Source organism: Homo sapiens, chromosome 5, assembly GCF_000001405.40.
Source record: "Homo sapiens chromosome 5, GRCh38.p14 Primary Assembly".
Lineage (NCBI taxonomy): Eukaryota > Metazoa > Chordata > Mammalia > Primates > Hominidae > Homo > Homo sapiens.
In genome coordinates this window covers 112,206,737-112,228,470 of record NC_000005.10, presented here as the reverse complement: position 1 = coordinate 112,228,470, position 21,734 = coordinate 112,206,737, and the positions used below count along the sequence as shown (strand labels likewise).

Sequence of the window (21,734 nt, the reverse complement as noted above, 5' to 3'; positions counted from 1 at the left end):
TTTTGGCATTCCCATTCTGCCTCTGTGGAAGGGGCTGCAAACAGAGTGCATAAGGGGTTGTGAAAATGATTTCTGAGAGGATGGTTTGTGCACAGTGTGCAAGAGGACAGCTACTTACCGCTTGGACCAAGCCAGTTGTTTCTGTGCAGCGGAGTGGACCTAGTGTTGATGTATCTTCCAGTGTTTCAAGAGAAGTACAAAATCTGGATGTTCATGTGAACTTCCTAGAATTTGAAATACTAGCAATTAATTTTATTATAAGAAGACTTTGTGTGCTAAGTTAAACATTTCTGATCAACAGATTTGGCTTGAGGGCTGCTTCCCTGGAAACTCTGTCCCTTGACAGAGCTGGTGTGAGTGGTTGATCTACCATGTGACAGGTGACTCCATCTGCCCTGGGGCTCACACTATGTTTCTGCAGCATCCTCAGCAATCACGACTATGTTTGATTCAAACACTCCATTACTCCAGACGTGAGCACTTTGTAGTTAGTAGGTCAGTGGGCCAACTCCAGGGGATGATGGTGCCACACAGCTCTGGACCCCCCATAGTGAATGATTCCCCTGAGGGTAGCTAACCAGCATCTATTGTTGACCCAAGGTAGGTGCAGTCAAAGCAGGGAAGACAGAGAAATTATTCGATATAATGAAGTACAGTTTCATTTGATGAAGTATAGCTCTGGGCTGCTAAGAAATAGCAATGTCAAAACAATAGTTATTTATTGAACACTTCCTCTGATTGGCACATTGTGTCAGATGCAAGTCAGCAGAACCTCAGTGTGGCTTGTGGCAGTCAAATCTGTGTTTTGAAGGCAGAGGAAAGGTGAGTTATCTGAATAGAGACGGATGTATCAGTGCGATCCAGTAAGCTGGATCCTGGTACTTTGCTGGTTCAGCTTCAGTAATCCATGTACTAGACATGTAATATTATAAAGTCACTTAGCCAGCTTGAGCCTTGATTTCTTCATCTGTCAGATGAGTTGCTGTCATGGGGATGTGTCTGAAATGGGCTGAGTATCTTGTCAGAACTTGTAGAGGCTTGGTACACTTTAGTTTCCTTCTCCTAAACCAAAAGGATGTCTTTCTATTCACAGTGTGGACCACTGTGAATCCATCTGTCAATGTCTGAGGTATATTCGCTGTAATGGCATGAACTTCATATACAAAGGATGATGTTATTATGTTGAGGTGCTGTGGGCTTTTGAGAGTGAGGGGTAAGGAGAGGCCATTCAAGTACAGTGAGAGGGGCTTGGAAAGGAAATTGGACACTCTCACTTAAATCTAGAACATTCAGTATAAATCGAGTGTGAAGAACTGGGCCAGTCAGAGCATACTATGTGAAGGTTTCTTCTGTCCTGCCTGCCTACAGATTTTAGCACCCCAGGGCAGCTGTTGGGAGCAGTATCAGGATCACAGAGTTAGGAAGTGTCTTTCTTACTATGTTTCTACTCTTCAGAGTAGCATTTAGTCCAAGCCTTTTTTTTTTTTTTCATTGTGGTAAAACCATAACATTAAATTTACCATCTTAAGCATTTTAAGAGTAAGTTCAATAGTATTAAATATATTCACATTGTTGTACAACCAATCTCTAGAGTGTTTTCATCTTATGACTCTGAAACTATACCCCGTAAACACCAATTACCCCTTCCTGCTCTCCCCAGCTCTTGGTGATCGTCTTTCTACTTTGTTTCTATGATTTTGACTACTTTAGTACTTCATATAAATGGAATCATCTAGTATTTGTTCAAGCCATTTTTCTTCTCTGATTTTTTTTTTTACACCAACATCTCTACCCTCCTCTCCTCCCCACCTCAGATCTTCACTGCTCTCCAGCCCTCTTGGGATTTTCTATGACTATGAATTGGAAAGAACAAACTTCTTACAGTGTGTTCATTAACAGTGATGACATTGTGTGATAATTTTAAAGTTCACACAGTTAATCATTCCATCTTCTATGTAAGGTGGTTTCCCCTATTTGAAGTAATTAGCTGCCAGGCCTACCTGAGTGCATTTTTCATGTTAAGCAGACAATAGGAACAGAGAAGACAAAGAAAAGGCAAAGCTGAAAGGGCTCCCAGAGGGGAAGCAAAATTGTTGAATGAGGAGCGCACAGAAGCTGTGGCTCTGGATCAGGGAATTCAAAAGCAAGTCCCCAATCTCTGAGTTTGTCCAGGAAGATATTAGATCAAATACGTCACTTCTATAATATCAGCGGAACTACTCCTGTGTTGTTTGTCATCACAGAGACTGGAAACTACCTAAATATCCATTAGAAAGAAACTGGCCTAATAAAGTAATATATGTTCCCCAGCCTCTGCCCCACATGAAATACCATGTCTCTGTTACAAGAAATCTGAGAGCAGGATTGGAGCTTGTGTCAATCTGATTCCATAGTCCCACAGTATCTGCTATGAAAGGCCAGGCCCCATGAGGAGCCCACCAAAGGAGAGGAATGTCAGGACTAATGATCGCTGAGCATTACCATGTGCTTGGCACTGTGCTAGACACTCTGCAGATAGTAGCTTACTCTTTTAGAAGATGCTGTAATTCTCAATGTTTAGGTGAGAAAGCAGAGGCTGAGACTTGTACAGAGTCACAAAGCTGAGATATGAACACAGGTCAGTTACAGTCTACAATATAGAGACGAAAGACTAAGAAAGAATGTGTTACATTTGTATGTACAGATACGAAATGATCTCCAGGATATGGTATATAAATGGTGGGGGCAGAGAAGCAGAGGGGCCCGGTAGTATTTAATGTGTTACCATTATATACAAAGACAAATTGGGTGGGAAAGTATGCATGCAGATAATACTTGCAGGCAGGATACATTAGAAACTAGTAACAGTAGTGGCCTTTGGGAAGCGTTTCTGAGAGAATGGGGATTGGCAGTGGGAGAGAGATTTATTTTCATTTGAATTTTTACCAAGCACTTTTCAAAAGCCCTACAGATTACTGTCATGAATGCATGAAGTTCACAAATGCTCATCCACATTTCCAATAGAGACATTCTCAATAAGCTCAGAGCTGAGACATTGTTCTTACCCTAGATCATTGTGATTTACAGAGAAAGAGCAATATAAGATCAATTGTACAAAACTCAAATGTTAGGAATTTCTCCTGTGTTATAGCAGACACAACCAGAGTCTTCAAGGAGAGGGGCATAAGTCCAGGATTAAAGTACATAAGATGGCATATAAGTCCTCAAGCCAGAGGGTGCTCCATTTCATGAGGAAGACTCATGGTATAGAGTCTTTGGATTAAATGAAGTAGAGGACGCTTTGTGTTTTTCACCCAAAGAAGTGATGATTTGCAGGTGTAGCAAGTTCTAGAATGTGGAGGATGTCTGGATGAGAATCACTTAGCAAGGAGGAATGTTTGGGAAAAGAGAGGGTAAAGAAACTGGGAAAAGACAGTAACATAATAATAGCTCTCACATCTATCCGGCCTTTGACGGGTATTGTGAAGTTTTTGTTTATTTCTTCTGGGTCAGAAAAAGGAAGAAGTTAGTATAAATTTTCATACAAAAGGGTTAGAACAAGACATTCTGACCTAGAATTGTTATATGGGTGGCTATGGAGATGATTTCTGAAAATATGGTGGAGGAGCTTTGTTTTGGCAAAAGTGTGATTGTGGCTCTTCTTTTCCAAGTGCACAGATCAGAATTAGACCATTGACTGAGTTATGGTCCAAGTCTGTGGTCCCTCCCTCTCTCCTTTGTAAGAACCTCTGCTCTGAGGGATGTTTAAATTACCTCTTGACTGATTATTTAAGCCATTTAATTGAGAAGCGACTTAGTGGGGTGGTAGGGGAGCTTAAAAAAAAGAGTGTGAAAGTTGTACCTGATTTGAGTAGCCCTGAATTCCTGGTCTGCCTTGGTTGTGACCTGTAACTTGTCATTCAGCATTCTCAGCTTTCATCCCTTTATCCATAAAATACAATAATTGGGTATGTAAGCTTTAAAGATTCCTCTTCTTTCTAAAATTCCTTTATTCTGTCTGACTTACCTGCCCACAGAGTTGGAAGGACCAAATATGAAAAATAGATACAGTGGAATTTTAGAAAGTTTTTTTTTTAAGTATATGGGTTTTTACCATTTCAAAAGTCTTGCAAAGTTGTGAAAAAGATCTTCCCAGATTATAAAATGTAGTTTTGCCATTGGAAATACACAGTACTTTTTGTGTTTGGAAAAACCTTCTAGCCAATTCTTTAAAACATCTCAGGCTGGATGCGGTGGCTTACACCTGTAATCCCAGCACTTTGGGAGGCTGAGGTGGGTGGATCACAAGGTCAGGAGTGTAAGACCAGCCTGGCCAACGTGGTGAAACCCTGTCTCTACTAAAAATACAAAAATTAGCCGGACGCAGTGGCAGGCGCCTGTAATCCCAGCTACTCAGGAGGCTGAGGCAGAAGAATCGCTTGAACCTGCGGGGCGGAGGCTGCAATGAGCCGAGATCGCGCCACTGCACTCCAGTATGGGTGACAGAGTAAGACTCCGTCTCAAAAGAAAAAAGCCTAAAGTTCAAATGAAACTCTTATTGACAAATTGAATAAAGTTAACTTTAACCATGGCTCTATTACAGTTTAAAAATTATTCTTTTAGTCCAAACTGACGAGATGAATATGAGATTTTGCCTGTTTGGTTAACTCATAGTTAAAAAGTGCTGTCTTTCTGGGTAAAAATAAAAAGAAGACATTCCTTCTTAGAAAGTTTTTGCATAGCTTTGTCTCTGCCTTTGAGTTGTGTGTGAACACAACCTTAGACTAGTCGTTTCTTGAACCTGCTCCTTCTTTTGGAAGTCAGCAGTGGGAATTGGCTCTACCTCGGCAGTTGTTTGTTGTTGCAATTCTTGATTTTACTAATGCATTGGGCAAATTTACCTGTTTTTTTACCCCTCCTGTTCTTGACAGGTGGGGGCTGGAGGGTGTGTCTGTCAGCGGTTTGGGATTCTGTTTTGGGGATAGATATTCCTGAGTAGATGGCATCTGAGGATTCCACACCTTTGCTTTACTATCAGAATTCATTGTTCTGAGGTGATGGTTTCTATGCCAGTATTTTCTTCAGACTTTGAAAACTCTGGGATTGATTTTTTTATTGGCTCTGTTTGGCCATAAGTTACTCATTACTTATTAATATCAATGTTAAAGATTTTGGGGGTTCTCAGAGTTCAGGGTTATTTTGGTAGGTTATAGGGAGAGATAGGTGAGGTAAAGAAGAAAGAAACTACTTTCGGTCGGGCACGGTGGCTCAATCCTGTAATTCCAGCACTTTGGGAGGCCAAGGCGGGCAGATCACCAGAGGTCAGGAGTTCAAGACCAGCCTGGCCAACATGACGAAACCCTGTCTCTACTAAAAATACAAAAGCTAGCTGGACATGGTTGGTGTGTACCTGTAGTCCTAGCTACTTGGAAGGCTGAGGCACAAGAATCGCTTGAACCCGGGAGGCAGAGGTTGCAAGCAGGGATTGTGCCACTGCACTCCAGCCTGGGCGACAGAGCCAGACTCCATCTTAAAAAAAAAAAAAAAAACTAGTTTCACTTGTGGAGCAGGTGCCCTGCTTGGCCCTTGGGTCACTGGCACTGTGCTGGTCTTTGGAGCAGGAGTCCAGAAGGGGTGGAGGAAGAGCCCTCTGTAACAGTGGACTTGCTCCTCTCTTCTCTCCTGGGGTAAGAATGGGGCCTCTGAGGAAACCGCCCAGATTCCTTCTCCAGAAAAGATGATGTGCAGTCCAGCAGATGAGTCAGTTATCTGGGGACAACCAAGCCTTTTGGGGCTGCTTTACGGTCCAGGTACCAGGTACAGCTTTGAACAGAGAAGCTGGTTTGCAGAGAAAGAAGAATGGAGTTGGCTCACTGTGAGAATCACACAGCTTTGAGAAGAGAGGGGAAGGGAGGCTTAGTAGCTATGAACTGAAGTCTGTGAGATCCTGTTGTGCATTCACCATGAATTCCTTTCTAATTTGAGCTGATTTCCTTGCATGAAAACAGTGGATAACATTACTGGGTATAACCCTTTCAGTATCCCCATGAGAAAGATGGGTGGTAGTCTCATCTTACTGATGAGGAAACTGAGGCATGGAAACATTAAGTACTTGTTTGAGATTACACAGGCAGTAAGCGCAAAGCCAGGATCCTAACCCAGGTCTTTGGGATACTATGGTACATGCTTGGAAAGTAAATGGAAGTTAAGAAAGGTGAAAGGTCTAGAATGATTTGAAAATATACAACTTCTGTTTTTTCCCCATGTGTGATTTCTTCAGTAGCTCTAACTTGTTTTCAACAAATACTCTTGAGAAGACCATACATTCTGCTCATTTATAGTCAGAGTCAGCCTACTTTTACTTTAAGCCATTTTTAGAAGAAAATGTGTAAGTTCTTTGGGGCATCTTACCTAGCCAAGAGAGAGGGGGAAAGGCAGTAACTGTTAATTGCAAGGAGCATTAGGTAGACCATATAGTCAGGTGTATGTTTGTTGCAGGCTGTTAGCCTTTGTTGGCATCCTTTTCTATTCTGCCTTGAAACTTAGGCTTATTTTCCATCTGTAAAAGATTTATTAATGTATGGCGAGTCTGGTTAGATTTTCTCTAAAAAGTTAATGTTTTCAGTCTTCTTGGGAGTGTTTAGCATTCCAAACATAGCTACGAAAATTAGAAAAGCAAGCAAAATGAAAGGGCTATTATATATTCAAGTTAAAATCACAGCTTTAGTGAGTTACCATAAATGACACCTTTTTTCTTTTTCTTCTTATTCAACAAGAATTTATTGGGCACCTCTTTGGCATAAGACCCTATTTTATAGAGCACAGAAAATGGAATAAAGCTTGGCCCCTAATCTGTAGGAACTAAGTCATATACAAATAACACAGCCGTCAGTTATTTAGCACTTACTAAATTCCAAACACAGTGCTAAAGGCTTTATATAAATTGTCTAATTTAATCCAGCTGTGCACTATATAAGTAGTTAGTGGTGTTCCCATTTTACACAGGAGAAAACTGTGGCCCAAAGTAGTTTAATAACTTGTCCAAGATCACAGGATCAATTTACAATGGGTAAACTGGCAGAGCTGAGAAATAAATCTAAGTTTGTTGGACTTTCAACCTTGTACACTTAACCAGCTGCTTTGCAAGACTAGAGAAGCAATGCTGGAATGCAGGCAGGACATATCAAGTGGCATAGAGTGGAGCACTGACAGAGTTCTAAGTGTCCGGAAGGATAATTTGCTTATGGCTAGAGGCAGTCCATGATGCTATTGCAAAAGAAGGGGGTTTTAATGGACAGGTGAATTAAGGCAGTAGATTTCAGGCTCGTGTATGCAACTGCTAGGGTGGATTGTATAGGGGAGAAAAAGTAGTAGCTTCCTCACTTATCACTAGGTTCATGGCTGAGGTCCCCATAACAAAAGATTAACAAGAGAAAAGTGTACAACTTTGTTTAATATAAGTTTTATATACATGAGAGCCTTTAGAAATGAAGACCCAAAGAAATGAGATATGTGTATATTCATGGACAGTCATGCAGAAGTATGACTAGAGGACAAAAGGGTATATTCTAATGGTAATAACCTGGAGGGGGGCTTAGCAAAGGTTGGTTGTTTGGATTCTTCTTGGTTTCCCTGTATGATATCCCCTCCCTCTGGGTAAAGCAGGATATCTATCACATGAGGGATTCCAGGGGAAAAAGGAGGAAGAAGGTCAGAGAGTTACCTTCTAGGTTTTAGACCTGTTTCAGGAGAAAATGACAGAGGGTTGGGAGATGAGAGGGGCTTTCTTGCTTCTGCTGTTTTCTCAAATGCCAAGGTGTTATAGTTTGGGGTAGCGTGTCCTGATCTGAGTCAGGTGGGGAGGGCAACACACAGAGGCTTTCTAAGATGTACTTGGGCACAGGTAGTTTTCATTGAATCAATTTCTAGATTCTCTTTTCTAAAAGGCATATTCCTGTGGTAGTATACATACTGGTTCTTCTGTCCAGCCTGCCCTTTTGCAATGGACCTTCTTCCATTTTGCAAAAGAAAAGAGCCCTTTCCTACATCTGGAATCTGTTAGACTGCTTTGTCCATAAGCTTTGAACCTCTTGGGGTTGGTATTGGGAAGGTAAATGACTCTAATTATCAAGTGACATATCCTTTTCTAAGTCATTTTCTCATTTTTACTTGCAACAAAATTGAAGGAGGACCCAGCGGATTTGTCACTTGATAGAACATTCAGAATAATTTTGGATAATATATCACTGTTAGATATCTAACTCCTTAGAAGTTCTTTGACTCAGTGGTGATGTCTTTATAACAGAATACATTACATATACCTCTACTTATTTTGAACATGGGTTCACAGCATCGAAAATCAAAATAAAAGTAGGAATAGACTTGTTGCTAAACTGTTTCATTCTAGCAAAAAATAACATTTGTAAATAGATTTGATACATGTAATCATTAGGGAAATAAAACCACCTCTGTTTACCTCATTAAAAATTGCTTTCTGGCAGGGCACAGTGGCTGATGCCTGTAATCCCAGCACTTTGGGAGGCCAAGGTGGGTGGATCACTTGAGGTCAGGAGTTCAAGACCAGCCTGGCCAACATGGTGAAACCCTATCTCTACTAAAAATACAAAAATTAGCTGGGTGTGGTGGTGGGCATCTGTAGTCCCAGCTTCTTGGGAGGCTGAGATGGGAGAATCACTTGAACTCAGAAGATGGAAGTTGCAGTGAGCCAAGATTGCTCTATTGCACTCCAGCGTAGGCAACAGAATGAGACTCTGTCTCAAAAAAAATTGCTTTCCAATAAAAAATTTACTTTTTATATTTAATAATTTATCAGCATTAGTATGGTGTACTAATATACTGCTACTAATTATAATAACTTAGTTCAGAAGAAATTTTTTACATTTAGAGCTTTATGGTCATGGGAAGTAAACACTTTATTTTTATATTTTGTCATAGAGAAGTATGATAAGGTGATAATAAAAACTTTTTTATTAGTTTGTTCTCACATTGCTATGAAGAAATACCTGAGACTGGGAAATTTATAAAGAAAAGAGGTTTAAAAGACTCACAGTTCCACTTGGCTGGGGAGGCCTCAGGAAACTTGGAATCATGGCAGAAGGCATGTCTTCACAGGGCGGCAGGAGAGAGAATGAGTGCCAGCAGGGGAAATGCCAGACGCTTATAAAACCATCAGCTCTTGTGAGAGTTCACTCACTATCACGAGAATAGCATGGGGGAACCACCCCCATGATTAAGTTACCTCCCACTGGCTCCCTCCCACGACGACGTGGGGATTATGGGGATTACAATTCAAGATGAGATTTGAGTTGGGGACACAGCCAAACCATATCAACTTTCAAATTCAAAACATATTAGGGATAAATTTTGTAGGTGAAGTAGAATTGAAATGCAAACACAAAGAGAAAAAAGAATGTGATGAAATTTATTAACTGCTAAACAACTCATTTCATATGTTTTTAAAATGGATGACACAACGAATCGGTATGGTATTTTATTACATTGGATATGTTTAAGGGAGTCATGAAACAGTTCTAGTTTTTAATGTCATATTTATACTTCAAATTATATCCTTTGGTACTATTTAAACTTTTCATGAAAAATTTTAGGTATCATTTTGAAACAAGCACAAGGTACATTGTTTTTCAAAATTCTTTTAGTGAGTGCTTGCGTAAAATAAAACACTACAGAGTCCTTGAGATGAGCTCAAACGTGGAAGCAGACAAAAAACTTCCCAATTTTGCCTTAGCTAAATAAGCATTTTAAAAACAATCTTGATATACAGGTATGCTTAGTTTATATTTGCATTTACTTTATTTACTATTAAAATTGCATCAAATAAAAACCTCAAAAGTAGTGTTCTAGCACTCTCCTCTGAGACAGAACCAGCTTTAGGTTAGGTATGGAACTATCCACCTGCCCTAGACCAAGCAAGCATAAATTGTGGGGCTTGAGAGATGGCTGGAGAATGTTTGGTGTGTGTCAGTCGGCTGTGTAGCCCTGATAGAGGATTGGAGGAGAGGGCACCAGGAGTACCACTGGGAAGGATGTGAGTGATCACTCAACTCTCTTCCCTCAAACTCGTATCACAGGAAGAAAAACTTGATATCCAAGTGACTCGTGACACCTCTTGATTCCAGCTGACCATTCATAGATAGGTGTTATCTTTGGGTCCAAGAGGGCTTGAAGGAACAATGTGCACCCTCTCCTGTTACCACATCTGGCAGTCTTTCCACGCTGGTGTAGATTACAAATCTTCAGATAGAAGTCTCTCATCCTACTCCTTTGAAGTTCTAAGGGAATGAGCAGATGCCTTCCTAGCCTCACAAATCCCTTTCTTGTTTTTGAACCTGGCATTCTGACCCACAAGGAGGACTGTCTGTGAGTACCTCCACACCCTGTAGCTCCTCCACACACTCTGTAGCACTGGGGGAAGGGCAGAGGAGGAAGTGCCTTTATGTGCACTCACAGTCCCAAATTATCATTTTGGTAATGACGAAAGCAGAGGGATCCAGGAGAGTACTGGGTCTGGGAAGAGGAAATTGGAAGCAGAACAACTCAGGAGGGGGCCTTTCATGCATAGACATGTTTTCCTAGCATCTTTCTCCTCCACACCCATTCCTTATAATCTACCCTCCAGCTTTTCAGTAGAATGCCTTCTTTGATCTTGCAGTAGCAAAATTGGTGTCTAAAAAGTCTATGTATATCTAGTAAAAAGGCAACTGCTTAAATATCACTCTTGGAACTTTAGAAGGCAGAAACATTTTTTGTGTTTTAAGAAATGGAGTCTCACTCTGTCACCAGGCTGGAGTGCAGTGGTGTGATCATGGCTTATTGTAACCTCAAACTCTCAAGTTCAAACAATCCTCCTGCCTCAGTCTCAATAACTGGGATGACAAGCATGGGCCACCATGCCTGGCTAATTAAAAAAACTTTTTTTGTAGAGATAGGTCTCACTATGTTGCCCAGGCTGATCTCAAACTCCTAGCCTCAAGCGACCCTCCTGCATTGTCTTCCCAAAGTGCTGGGATTACAGGAGTGAGCTACTGTATTCAGCCCAGGAATTCTTAAGCAGGAATCTGGCTGCCTTTTGGGGATGAGCCAGGTGTTTGAACTTAAACAATTAGCCATTGGATGCAGAAACATCTTTATTTTCCAAATTATGTTTTAATATTTATTTTTGCTTTATAGAATTTAATGAGCATCTGTTTTGCCAAATATAAAATTTTCCAGCTGGATGCGGTGGCTCACGCCTGTAATTCTAGCATTTTGGGAGGCTGAGGCAGGTGGATCACCTGAGGTCAGGAGTTCAAGACCAGCCTGGGCAACATGGTGAAACCCCATCTCTACTAAAATACAAAAATTAGCTGGGCATGATGGTGGGTGCCTGTAATCCCAGCTACTCGGGAGGCTGAGATGGTAGAATCGCTTGAACCTGGGAGACTGTGGTTGCAGTGAGTGGGTGGCTGAGCGAGACTCTGTCTCAAAAAAAAAAAAATTCCATGATGATAGGAAAATTATATAAGGTTTTCTTGAATATTTAGCTATTTGGCCGTAATTTGTGGTATAGAAAAAGAATGTTTTATTTTGCTAATTTGCTATACTGCCATTTTTTCCATAGTACCTAGTCTAAAGTTGGTGAAATTAAGGCAAAGTCACTTTGAGCTGTCAATGTGAGAAATAGAGCTAAAATATATTTTCAATTATTGGTCAGTTCTTAATTCACAAATATCATGTCTTTTGATAAGTTGAACTGGGTTAGGTCATGCAAATCAGATTGTGTTAACTGAAACCTAATAACTTACTGTGTTGAGAATAGCTATAATCTTATTATTTGTCTTAAGCATTTTATACAGTTTTTTTTTATGTTAAGGGAAGAAAATGTGATTGTTAAGTAGGACAAGATTTAACCTGAAGGTTTATAAATTTATATTTGAGAATTTTTAAAAGAAAGTGTATGTCACAACCTTGTTTTACTTGTTTAGCTGTATGTTATTTTCCCCACATATCAGAATAAGGTATTCTCGCTTTCCAAATACATTTTTTTCATTTTAATTTCACACATTCAGCCTTCACCCTCACTCTAAAAATTAAAAGGAATGGCAACATTTAAGTAACATCAAAGATTTGATTTATGTTGACAGGTGTCAAATTGACTTATGAATTTTGTGAGACTCGTAATCCTATTTAATTGCAAAGTATTTTTGTAATTGAAAATACGTGTATATTCATCACCAAATCTTGACATCACAGGGATGACTTTTAAGAATTGCCCCCAGATAAAGTAGCTAAATAGATCCTGGGAAAGTTCATTCTGTTTCTGACAGTCACACTTCCTGAACTGAAGGCAAGGATCACTTAAGATGGAGGTACTCAAATGTGAACAGAATCTAACCACTCAAAGGACTGGTAGTGGTCTGATGCACCAGGATGGAAGTATTTGGATATAGTGTATTAAAAACGAACAAATGAAACCCTGGAGCTTTGCACACTGGCATTTCAGTACTGTATAAACCACAGGGAATTGTGTGTGCACATATTAAGCTGTGGTGTCTAACAGCCCAGAAACAAATATCACAGGCCATGAGCTAGATTTGGCTCATTAATAAATGATAGCACTCCCCGACTGACATACTCTTCAAAATACGAGCAGCCTTTTGGAATTAAGCTTTGTCTGTTTTTTTTTTGTTTTTTTTGTTTTTTTTTTTTTTTGAGATGGAGTCTCACTCTGTCGCCCAGGCTGGAATGCAGTGGCGCGATCTCTGCTCACTGCAAGCTCCACCTTCCGGGATCACGCCATTCTCCTGCCTCACCCTCCCGAGTAGCTGGGACCACAGGCACCTGCCAGCACGCCTGGCTAATTTTTTGTATTTTTAGTAGAGACGGGGTTTCACCATTGTTAACCAGAATGGTCTCGATCTCCTGACCTCATGATCCGCCCGCCTTGGCCTCCCAAAGTGCTGGGATTACAGGCGTGAGCCACCGCGCCCGAGCAAGCTTTGTCTTTTTAATGTGAACAATATGTAAAATGAATTGGACACTCTTGATTAATTCTAAGTGGCCTCACTAGAGTTATTATTATTTTTACTTGAAGTAAAATACAGATTTACTTCAAAGCCTTAATAGCCATATGTCAATAACTGATCTTGATTGCAGATCACCTGTGGCTGTGAATTGAAACAGCAGTGTGCTACTGCAGAAGACTGCCTTTTAAAATTCTAAGAAGCAGCCCAGTCCTGCAAGGTATATTGCCGCATGTCCTTTTGACATGCGTCTCAGGTACCACCACATCTATTAATAGTTTTTGTTTTACTTTTGACACTTATTAAATAAAGATCATTATCCTGAATTTTCCTCTCTAGTGGCAAAAATGGTAGAAACAGAAATACATCCTTTCTAATAATAGACATTCATTGAGTACCTACCATGGGTGGTGCACTGTTCTGGCAGCCATGTGGGTGCACAATGATGTGTCCTTCATTTTATTAAGATTTTGAGGCCTTATGAAGTTTTTAATTTAAAAATAATTTTGTTTTATATGTCAAATATTTTATGAAATGAAACACAGAATAATCTGTGTTTCCAGATATTTTAGGCAGAAAGCAACTGTTTAACTTTATCTAGAAAGTAAAGAATTGCCCCAAATGAGATGATTGTGAAGTGCAGGAAAATTGCCCTCTGTGTTTTTTTTCTTTTGTTTTTGCCTTTTGAGATGGAGTCTTGCTCTGTCGCCTGGGCTGGAGTGCAGTGGCGCGATCTCCACTCACTGCAAGCTCCGCCTCCTGAGTTCACGTCATTCTTCTGCCTCAGCCTCCCGAGTAGCTGGGACTACAGGTGCCCACCACCACACCTGGCTAAATTTTTTTTGTATTTTTAGTAGAGATGGGGTTTCACTGCTTTAGCCAGGATGGTCTCGATCTCCTGACCTCATGATCCGCCCGCCTCGGCCTCCCAAAGTGCTGGGATTACAGGCGTGAGCCGCCGCGCCCGGCTGCCCTCTGTGTTTTAATTCTTGAAGTGGGTGGTGGTTTACTGTATGATTATTTGTTAAGCTGTTTATATATGTATGTTATACCCTTTTCTTATGTCTGATATTTAAATGAAAAAGCAGTGGTGGTGGGGAAAGATTTATCTAACCTCCAAATATTTTCTGGAACAGTGCCTGAAATTCCCTTGTTATTGGTTAATTATTTTAGTTAATATTTGGTCTTTCCTTTTACTCATCTTCAAAATGGAACTGTTCTGTGGTACATAATACATGAAGACATAAGCCCATTAGTGGGATGGATTTGTCAGGTCACTTTTCTCTGTAGCCCGAGTCTGAGCTGATGTAGGAGGGATTCTGGAAGGTGGTATGATGAGGGGAGGAAAAGGAAAATTTAGTGGTCCATGTTAACAAAATGGAAAGTCAGTAAACCTAAATAATGCATAACCTAAATTTCTCACCTCTGCAGATTTCAATCACCAACATATAACCTAGCTTTACTGAATTGATTAGCTATCTCAAATGGTGGTATGGTAAAATCTTACTAATTTGGACAGTGGTTAAAATATATTATTCTGAAAGTATATTTACTGCTTTTAGATTACATATTTAGTGACATAAAACTAAAACATATTGCCTAATGAAGGCATGTGACTATTATATGAATGGATACTTCAGAAGTGCTCCCAGTAAGTTAATGCTTCTAAGTGGTTTTTCCCCATGTAGTCTTCCTAATAAGGCTTTTAAAACCCAGGCTTGTCTAGTTCACATTTGTTATAGAGTAGGGGAGTACAGATGAAGAGATATTTAGTTCATATAAAAAGACTGTACATGTTGGCTGGGTTTGGTGGCTCATGCCTGTTATCCCAGCACCTTGGGAGGCTGAGGTGATGCGGGCAGATAACCTGAGGCCAGGAGTTTGAGACCAGCCTGTCCAACATGGTGAAACCCCATCTCTACTAAAAATACAAAAATTAGCCGGGCGTGGTGGTGCATGCCTGTAATCCCAGCTACTCATGAGGCTGAGGTAAGGGAATCACTTGAACCCAGGAGGCAGAGGTTGCAGTGAGCTGAGATCGTGCCACTGCACTCCAGCCTGGGTGACAGAGCAAGAGTCTATCTTAAAAAAAAAAAAACAAAAAAAAAAACTGTACATGTTAACAGTGAACAGTAGATTACCATTTTGAATATAAAGGAACCATGAATTAAGTCATATTACTGATTATACCTTATCTCGTCTACAGTGGGTATATGAGAGTTATAGCACTGTCACATTAGTAAATTAGTCCTGACAGTAGAACAATTTATTTTGAAAAAGTTTGGCTATGCTGGTTGTGAGTGTTTGTGACAAAGAGCACTCACATGATTTTTTTTTCCTGAAATTCTTTTGGAAAACCATCCAAATAATGCTTCATCTTAAAAATTATGATTCAGACATTGTGAAAAACCAAATATTGCTTTCTTTAAGCAAATATATAAACATAGTTTGCAATTTTTCTTTTTAAAAATATTCTGTTTTTCTCTGTTAATTTTTGGATGGAAGGGAAACAGGTGAAGGTGATTAGGCACTTTTCCTAAAGTAATTGATTGTTAGACTAAGAAAAAAGTAGTCAGTCTAAAGAGAATGAGGGTGGGAGCAAACCTAGGTCTTTTCTTAAGCTAGTTACTCAGGGCCTTGGTTAACAGGATGTTCACCTTTACTCAGCTTTTTTCAGTTGGTGTTATTGACACTGGGTATTGGTCTCTCTGCTGTGGCCCCCTCTCCCAGCCTAGGAAAACAGCCCTAGGACATGAAGCTCCTTTTCATTTATATTAAATATTAGTAATATCTGCTAAGAATACCACCACATTTAAATAAAGGTTATTAAGAACAATTAAAAATACTAATGTTAGGGGGCTGGGCACAGTGGCTCACACCTGTAATCCCAGCACTTTGGGAGGCCAAGGTGGGTGGATCACTTGAGGTCAGGAGTTCCAGACCAGCCTGGCCAAGATGGTGAAACCCTGTCTCTACTAAAATTATAAAAAAATTAGCTGGACTCAGTGTCATGCGCCTGTAATCCCAGCTACTTGGGAGTCTGAGGCAGGAGAATTGCTTGAACCGAGGAGGCAGAGGTTGCAGTGAGCTGAGATCATGTCACTGCACTCCAGCATGGGCGACAAAGCAAGACTCTGTCTCAGGAGAAAAAAAAAAACAAAAACAACTAATGGTAGGGCACACCTACTGTCTAGGACCTAAATGAATTAGTCCCTTCTGCCACTGCCCCAGACGTGTACCACATGGAGTTCTACCTGTGAGAAGCAGCTTCATCCCAAATCTTTGCCTGCAATTTTGAGAATCTGCCCTTGTGATTTTGTTAATGGTCACATGGTTATGGCAAAATTGACTAAGATGGTGACTGGCCACTGCTGACGTTTGATGGCACGTGGAGTAGTTCCAGGGAATTAATTGGTTGTGTTCCATTTATCACACCAGGCAGAATTTACCCTAACATTAGTCTTTTCTTATTCCTGGCTTCTGGATGTTGCTCAGTTATTGGTAGTGGCTCCAGCATGAGCTTACCTTTTGTGCCACAGGTGTCTTCAGGCTCACCTTTTCATTTCAAGATTCCAAAATAGGAACACAATTCAGATATGGAATCCCATGTCAAATGCCTTAGAGTAACAGTTTTTGGAACTCTTATCTGAAACCACCCTTTGTTTTCTCTGTCTAAAGTGTATTTATTAATGTTTATCTTTCCTGATGGGTAAGCCAGACATACTTCCCAACTGCTCTGGAGGAAACTTGCCAACTTTGAGGGTGCTCAGGTGTTTCTCTTGTCTTGTCCTCTTGCCTTGCTCTGAAGTGTTCTTCTCATTGAACATCACTTTCACTTGCTGTGTGGGTTTTTTTTTTTTTTTTGAGACGGAGTCTCGCTCTGTAGCCAGGGCTGGAGTGTAGTGGCGCAATCTCAGCTCACTACAACCTCCACCTCCCGGGTCCCAGTTCAAGCAATTCTCCTGCCTCAGCCTCCTGAGTATCTGGGATTACAGGCATGCGCCACCATGCCCAGCTAATTTTTATATTTTTAGTAGAGATGGGGTTTTGCCTTGTTGGCCAGAGTGGTCTTGAACTCCTGACCTCGTGATCCGCCCGCCTCGGCTTCCCAAAGTGCTGGGATGACAGGCGTGAGCCACTGCGCCTGGCCCACTTGCCCTTTTAAGAGTCTGTCTCTCCCAGTTGACTCCTAATCTAGACTGACTCTTGAGCTGCTTGTGGGGCCACAGGTGGAAGTAGTGTGTGGTTCAGAGCTAAGTCTGTGGAGCCAGACTGCCCATCTTCAAAGCTTGCCCCACCACTCAGGAGCTGTGGGACCTTGAGAAAGGCCCATTTTTTTTAAATCTTTTAAAATGAGATAACATTGATATCTACTTCATAGGATTATTTTGAGGATACATGAGTAAATAGATGTGAAGCGCTTGTAATAGTACCTGACACATAGTAAGTACTCAATAAATATTAGTGCTTATTAATGTTACAAACTCATCTTCATGACATTCTCGGTGGTTAGTGACCGTTATGCATTGGATTGAAGGACCGTAACTATTACCCCTGCAGGAGTAGCTCCGAGGAAGACACACCTGTATGGCACATAGACCTAATTGAACAGGGCCTGTGGGCATCTGTGCATGCTGATTTCCCCTGATCATCTAAACTGCCTCCTCCTTGAGTGAGGTACATGCACACTGGAGAAGAGTTGTTCCCAGAGCCCACACACCTCACTTCTGCAGGCTTATCTACCTCTGCCCTGAGAGTGGAAGCCTGACCTCCTACATGGGCCCAGACCCTTCAGTTATCTTTATTTCGATCATGACTTCCAACATTGTGTCTGCCATGGGCTCCCTCTGCTGGTTCCTCTAGCGTGTATGCAAATCTATGGAATAACAACTTTTAAAAATTCAGTTTCAGATTTTTAGGAATGTTTGCATGAAGAACACATTTGAAAATGTCTTTTTTTTATATGTGAGTGATACAGATCACATGTATATTACTCTTTTTTTGACAGCTGCATTATGAGTTGGGATATTTTCAGGTTTGAAGTTTTTTGTTTGGTTTGATTTCAAATGGGGACTGTCATGATATGCTGAGAAACTTCTTCACAAGTAGTCATCAAAACCTGATCATTATGTTTTATATTCTAATATATGGTACTAAATATCTCAGAATATCATTTTAATAGTCTAAAGTGAATGTTATTTTAACATCTAAAGATGTGGAGACTTAGTTTTAAAGTCTGAAAAAAATAGCCTAGACTCCCAGGACATTGTTATGTTGAGGGTTTAGTACACGTTAGAAAATAGTACCTCCAATTTATTGGGTGATTCATTATTTATTTGGGGTTATAATTTATCAATAAAATGTGCCACAGTGTCCCTAAAATTGCATTTTAAAATAAGTCTTCTGTTTCTTTCATTTCCTTATCACTGTTTCCTCTCTCTTCCATCTTTCCTTCTCCTCCTCTGCTAGAATCAAACAGCATCAGTAGGATAACTGCAAACATGGAAAATGGAGAAAATGAAGGAACAATTAAAATTATTGCACCTTCACCAGTAAAAAGGTCAGTGAAGTTAACTGAAGAAACGTACAATTATATGCTGTTGTAAAAATGCTTTTTTTCTGTAGACAAGGTTAAAAATCTTTTAACTTTGATGATTAATGAATACTTTTGATCCATGGGATCCAATAAATCTCTGGGCCAAATAATACATTAAAACACCAATGAAATATAAAACATCAGGACCTGACTCTCTTATTTGAAGAAAGTGCTCTTTTTGTCACAAGGTGAACTCACAGATTGTCTGTGGTCTGCATTCTCCGCAGAAAATTAAAAATTTCTTGTGATTTTGAAAATGGCATGATATAATGGACTAACTCAGAGGGACTTGTAAAATAAAGTAGATGATATTCATGTTTAATGTACTGTGTTCATTATAGTGGTGCACTGAACTGTAGCCCTGGAAAGAGGGTTTATGGCATTTAGAGGCATCAGATCCTCAGAAGTCAGTGATTGCATATGTATGAAGACTTGTCATGGTCCTCTGCATCTGCTTTCCCAGGGGGCATTCCCCAGTGGAAAAGCCTTCTCTTAATATATTACATGGATTGTTTCCCTGAGAGCTAAGCCTTGTTTTCTGTTAAGACACTGTTGCAGAGTCATTTTTTCTTCTCTCCAATTATGTTCACGGAACAGCATTATAAACAACAATGAGCAGCTTTCATGAGCTCACTTTCTCTATAGGGGTTGCCCCCCATACATCATGGGGAAATCCCAGCAATCAGAGATATGTGACCTGCAAAGACTTCTTAGATCATCTACTTGATATTTTTTTGGTAAATAATAGTGGCTTCATTCAGCTGTATTGTGGCTACTTTGAGGAGTATAGTTCATAATTTCTCAGCAAGATAACTTTAAGATCTGAAGATTCTCAGAGTTTTAATATTTTACGCAGGGATTTGCCTATGTTTTGTTTGGTTCTAAGACATTTACTGGTTCTCCTTTTAGGATGACAAGTTCTTTATCATTGCATAACTTTAGTTTACTGTATTTCCCTTAGTCACCCTCAAGCTGTGGATAGAGATTCAGCTTCATCTGTATGTACAGGGTATGCTTGTGGTATGTTCAGCATAAGAACAGGAATCTTCCATGAGATTCAGATCCCACGCTTTTTTAGAATGTGCAGAAGGAGTACAATCCTCCTTTTAAAAATTTATTTTTTCAACTTTTATTTTAGGTCCAGGGGTACGTGTGCCAGTAGGTTTGTCACATGGGTAAATTGTTTATCACTGAGGTTTGGTGTATGCATGATCCCATCACTCAGGTAGTGAGCACAGTACGTGATAGGTAGTTTTCAACCCTTGCCCCCTCTCCTCCTCTAGTGGTCCCCAGTGTCTATTGTTCCCATCTTTATGTCCATGTGTACTCAATGTTTAGTTCCCACTTATAAGTGAGAACATGCAGTATCTAGTTTTCTGTTTCTGTGTTAATTAACTTAGGATAATAGCCTCCAGTTGCGTCCGTGTTGCCGCAAAGGACATGGTTTCATTCTTTTTTATGGCTGTGTAGTATTCCATGGTGTATATGTTCCATATTTGCTTTATCCAGTCCACTGTTCATGGTCATCTAGGCTGATTCTATGTCCTTGCTATTGTGAATAGTGCTGCAATGAGCATGTAAGTGTATGTGTCTTTTTTTTTTTTTTTTTTTGAGATGGAGTCTCCCTCTGTTGCCAGGATGGAGTGGAGTGGCACCATCTTGACTCACTGCAACCTCCGCATCCTGGGTTCAAGCGATTCTCCTGCCTCAGCCTCCCAAGTAGCTGGGACTACAGGCGTGTGCCACCACTCCCAGCTAATTTTTGTAGGTTTGGTAGAGATGGGGTTTTACCAGGTTGGCCAGGATGGTCTGCATCTCTTGACCTCGGGATCCGCCTGCCTTGGCATCCCAAAGTGCTGGGATTACAGGTGTGAGCCATTGCGCCCAGCCATATGTCTTTTTTTGTAGAATGATTTGTTTCCCTTTGAGTATATATCCAGTAGTGGAATTGTTGGATCAAATGGTGGTTCTGTTTTAAGTTCTTTGAGAAATCTCCAAACTGCTTTCCACAATGGCTGAGCTAATTTATATTTCCCCCAACAGTGTAAAAGTGTTCCCTTTTTTCCACAATCTTGCCAACATCTTTATTTTTTGTCTTTTTAATAATAGGTATTCTGACTGGGGAGATGGTGTCTTATTGTGATTTTAATTTGCTTTTTTCGAATGATTAATGATGTTGAGCATTTTTTCATGTATTTGTTGGTTGCATGTATGTCTTCTTTGGAAAAGTGCCTGTTGATGTCCTTTGCCCATTTTTTAATGGCATTGTTTGTTTCATCTTGTTGAATTGTTGAAGTTCCTTATAGATTCTGGATATTAGACCTTTGTCAGATACATAGTTTGTGAATATTTTCTCCTTTTCTGTAGATTGTCTGTTTACTCTGTTGATAGTTTCTTTTGTTGTGCAGAAGCTCTTTAAAGTCTCACTTGTCAATTTTTGGTTTTGTTGCAATTGCTTTTGGGGACTTAGTTATAAATTCTTCACCAAGGCTGATGTCCAGAATGATATTTCCTAGGTTTTCTTCTAAGATGTATTTTCATAGTTTGAGGTCTTACATTTAAGTTCTTAATCTATCTTGAGTGGATTTTTGAATATAGTAAAAGGAAGAGGTCCAGTTTCACTCTTCTGCATATGACTGGCCATCCCAGCACCATTTAGGGAGTCCTTTCCCCATTGCTTGTTCTAGTTGCTTTTGTTGAAGATCAGATGGTTGTAGGTGTATGACTTTGTTTCTGGGTTCTCTATCCTATTGCATTGGTCTTTTTGTCAGTTTTTGTACCATACCATGCTGTTTTTGTTACTGTAGCCTTGTAGTACAGTTTGAAGTCAGGTAGTGTGATGCCTCCAGCTTTGTTCTTTCTGCTTAGAATTGCTTTGGCTGTTTGGGCTTTTTTGGAGGGAGGGTCCATTTTAGAATAGTTCTTTCCTGTGAAAAAATGATGTTGGTAGTTTGATAGGAATAGCATTGCATCTGTATATTGCTTTGGGCTGTATGGCCATTTTAACAATATTTTTCAATCCCCTTTGCAACCACATTCCTGTGATGATACTGGTACTTGAAGCACCACCAAAGTTTTCCTCTCAAGCTTCAGATGAGAAATACCTTAGGGTGTGAATG

At 40.2% G+C, this 21,734-nt stretch overlaps 1 protein-coding gene and 1 long non-coding RNA gene across 15 annotated transcripts in view, besides 1 other annotated feature; one reads left to right on the top strand and one right to left on the bottom strand.

Moving 5' to 3' along the window:
• Nucleotides 1-188, bottom strand: part of LOC101927023 (uncharacterized) — a 29,027-nt gene extending 28,839 nt beyond the window's left edge. The window contains exon 1 of the long non-coding RNA NR_110559.1: nucleotides 119-188. This is a non-coding gene — a long non-coding RNA (uncharacterized LOC101927023). The remainder of the gene's footprint in view (nucleotides 1-118) is intronic.
• EPB41L4A (erythrocyte membrane protein band 4.1 like 4A) overlaps nucleotides 1-21,734 on the top strand; it is a 278,107-nt gene that overhangs the window by 191,465 nt on the left and 64,908 nt on the right. For all 14 annotated transcript variants that reach the window (XR_001742173.3, NR_144931.2, XM_011543531.4 and 11 more), the window contains one exon: nucleotides 18,489-18,579. Coding sequence is in view for 12 of the 14 variants with exons in the window: in XM_011543531.4 (XP_011541833.1) it covers nucleotides 18,489-18,579 (91 nt within the window). In the remaining 2 variants the exon portion in view is untranslated. The remainder of the gene's footprint in view (nucleotides 1-18,488; nucleotides 18,580-21,734) is intronic.
• Nucleotides 10,374-10,875: an enhancer, noted in NCBI's record as "H3K4me1 hESC enhancer chr5:111553293-111553794 (GRCh37/hg19 assembly coordinates)". NCBI's record gives its function as "activates a minimal SCP1, AML or CMV promoter by ChIP-STARR-seq in naive H9 embryonic stem cells {active_cell/tissue: H9 hESC(naive)}" and the evidence as "EXISTENCE:reporter gene assay evidence [ECO:0000049][PMID:30033119]".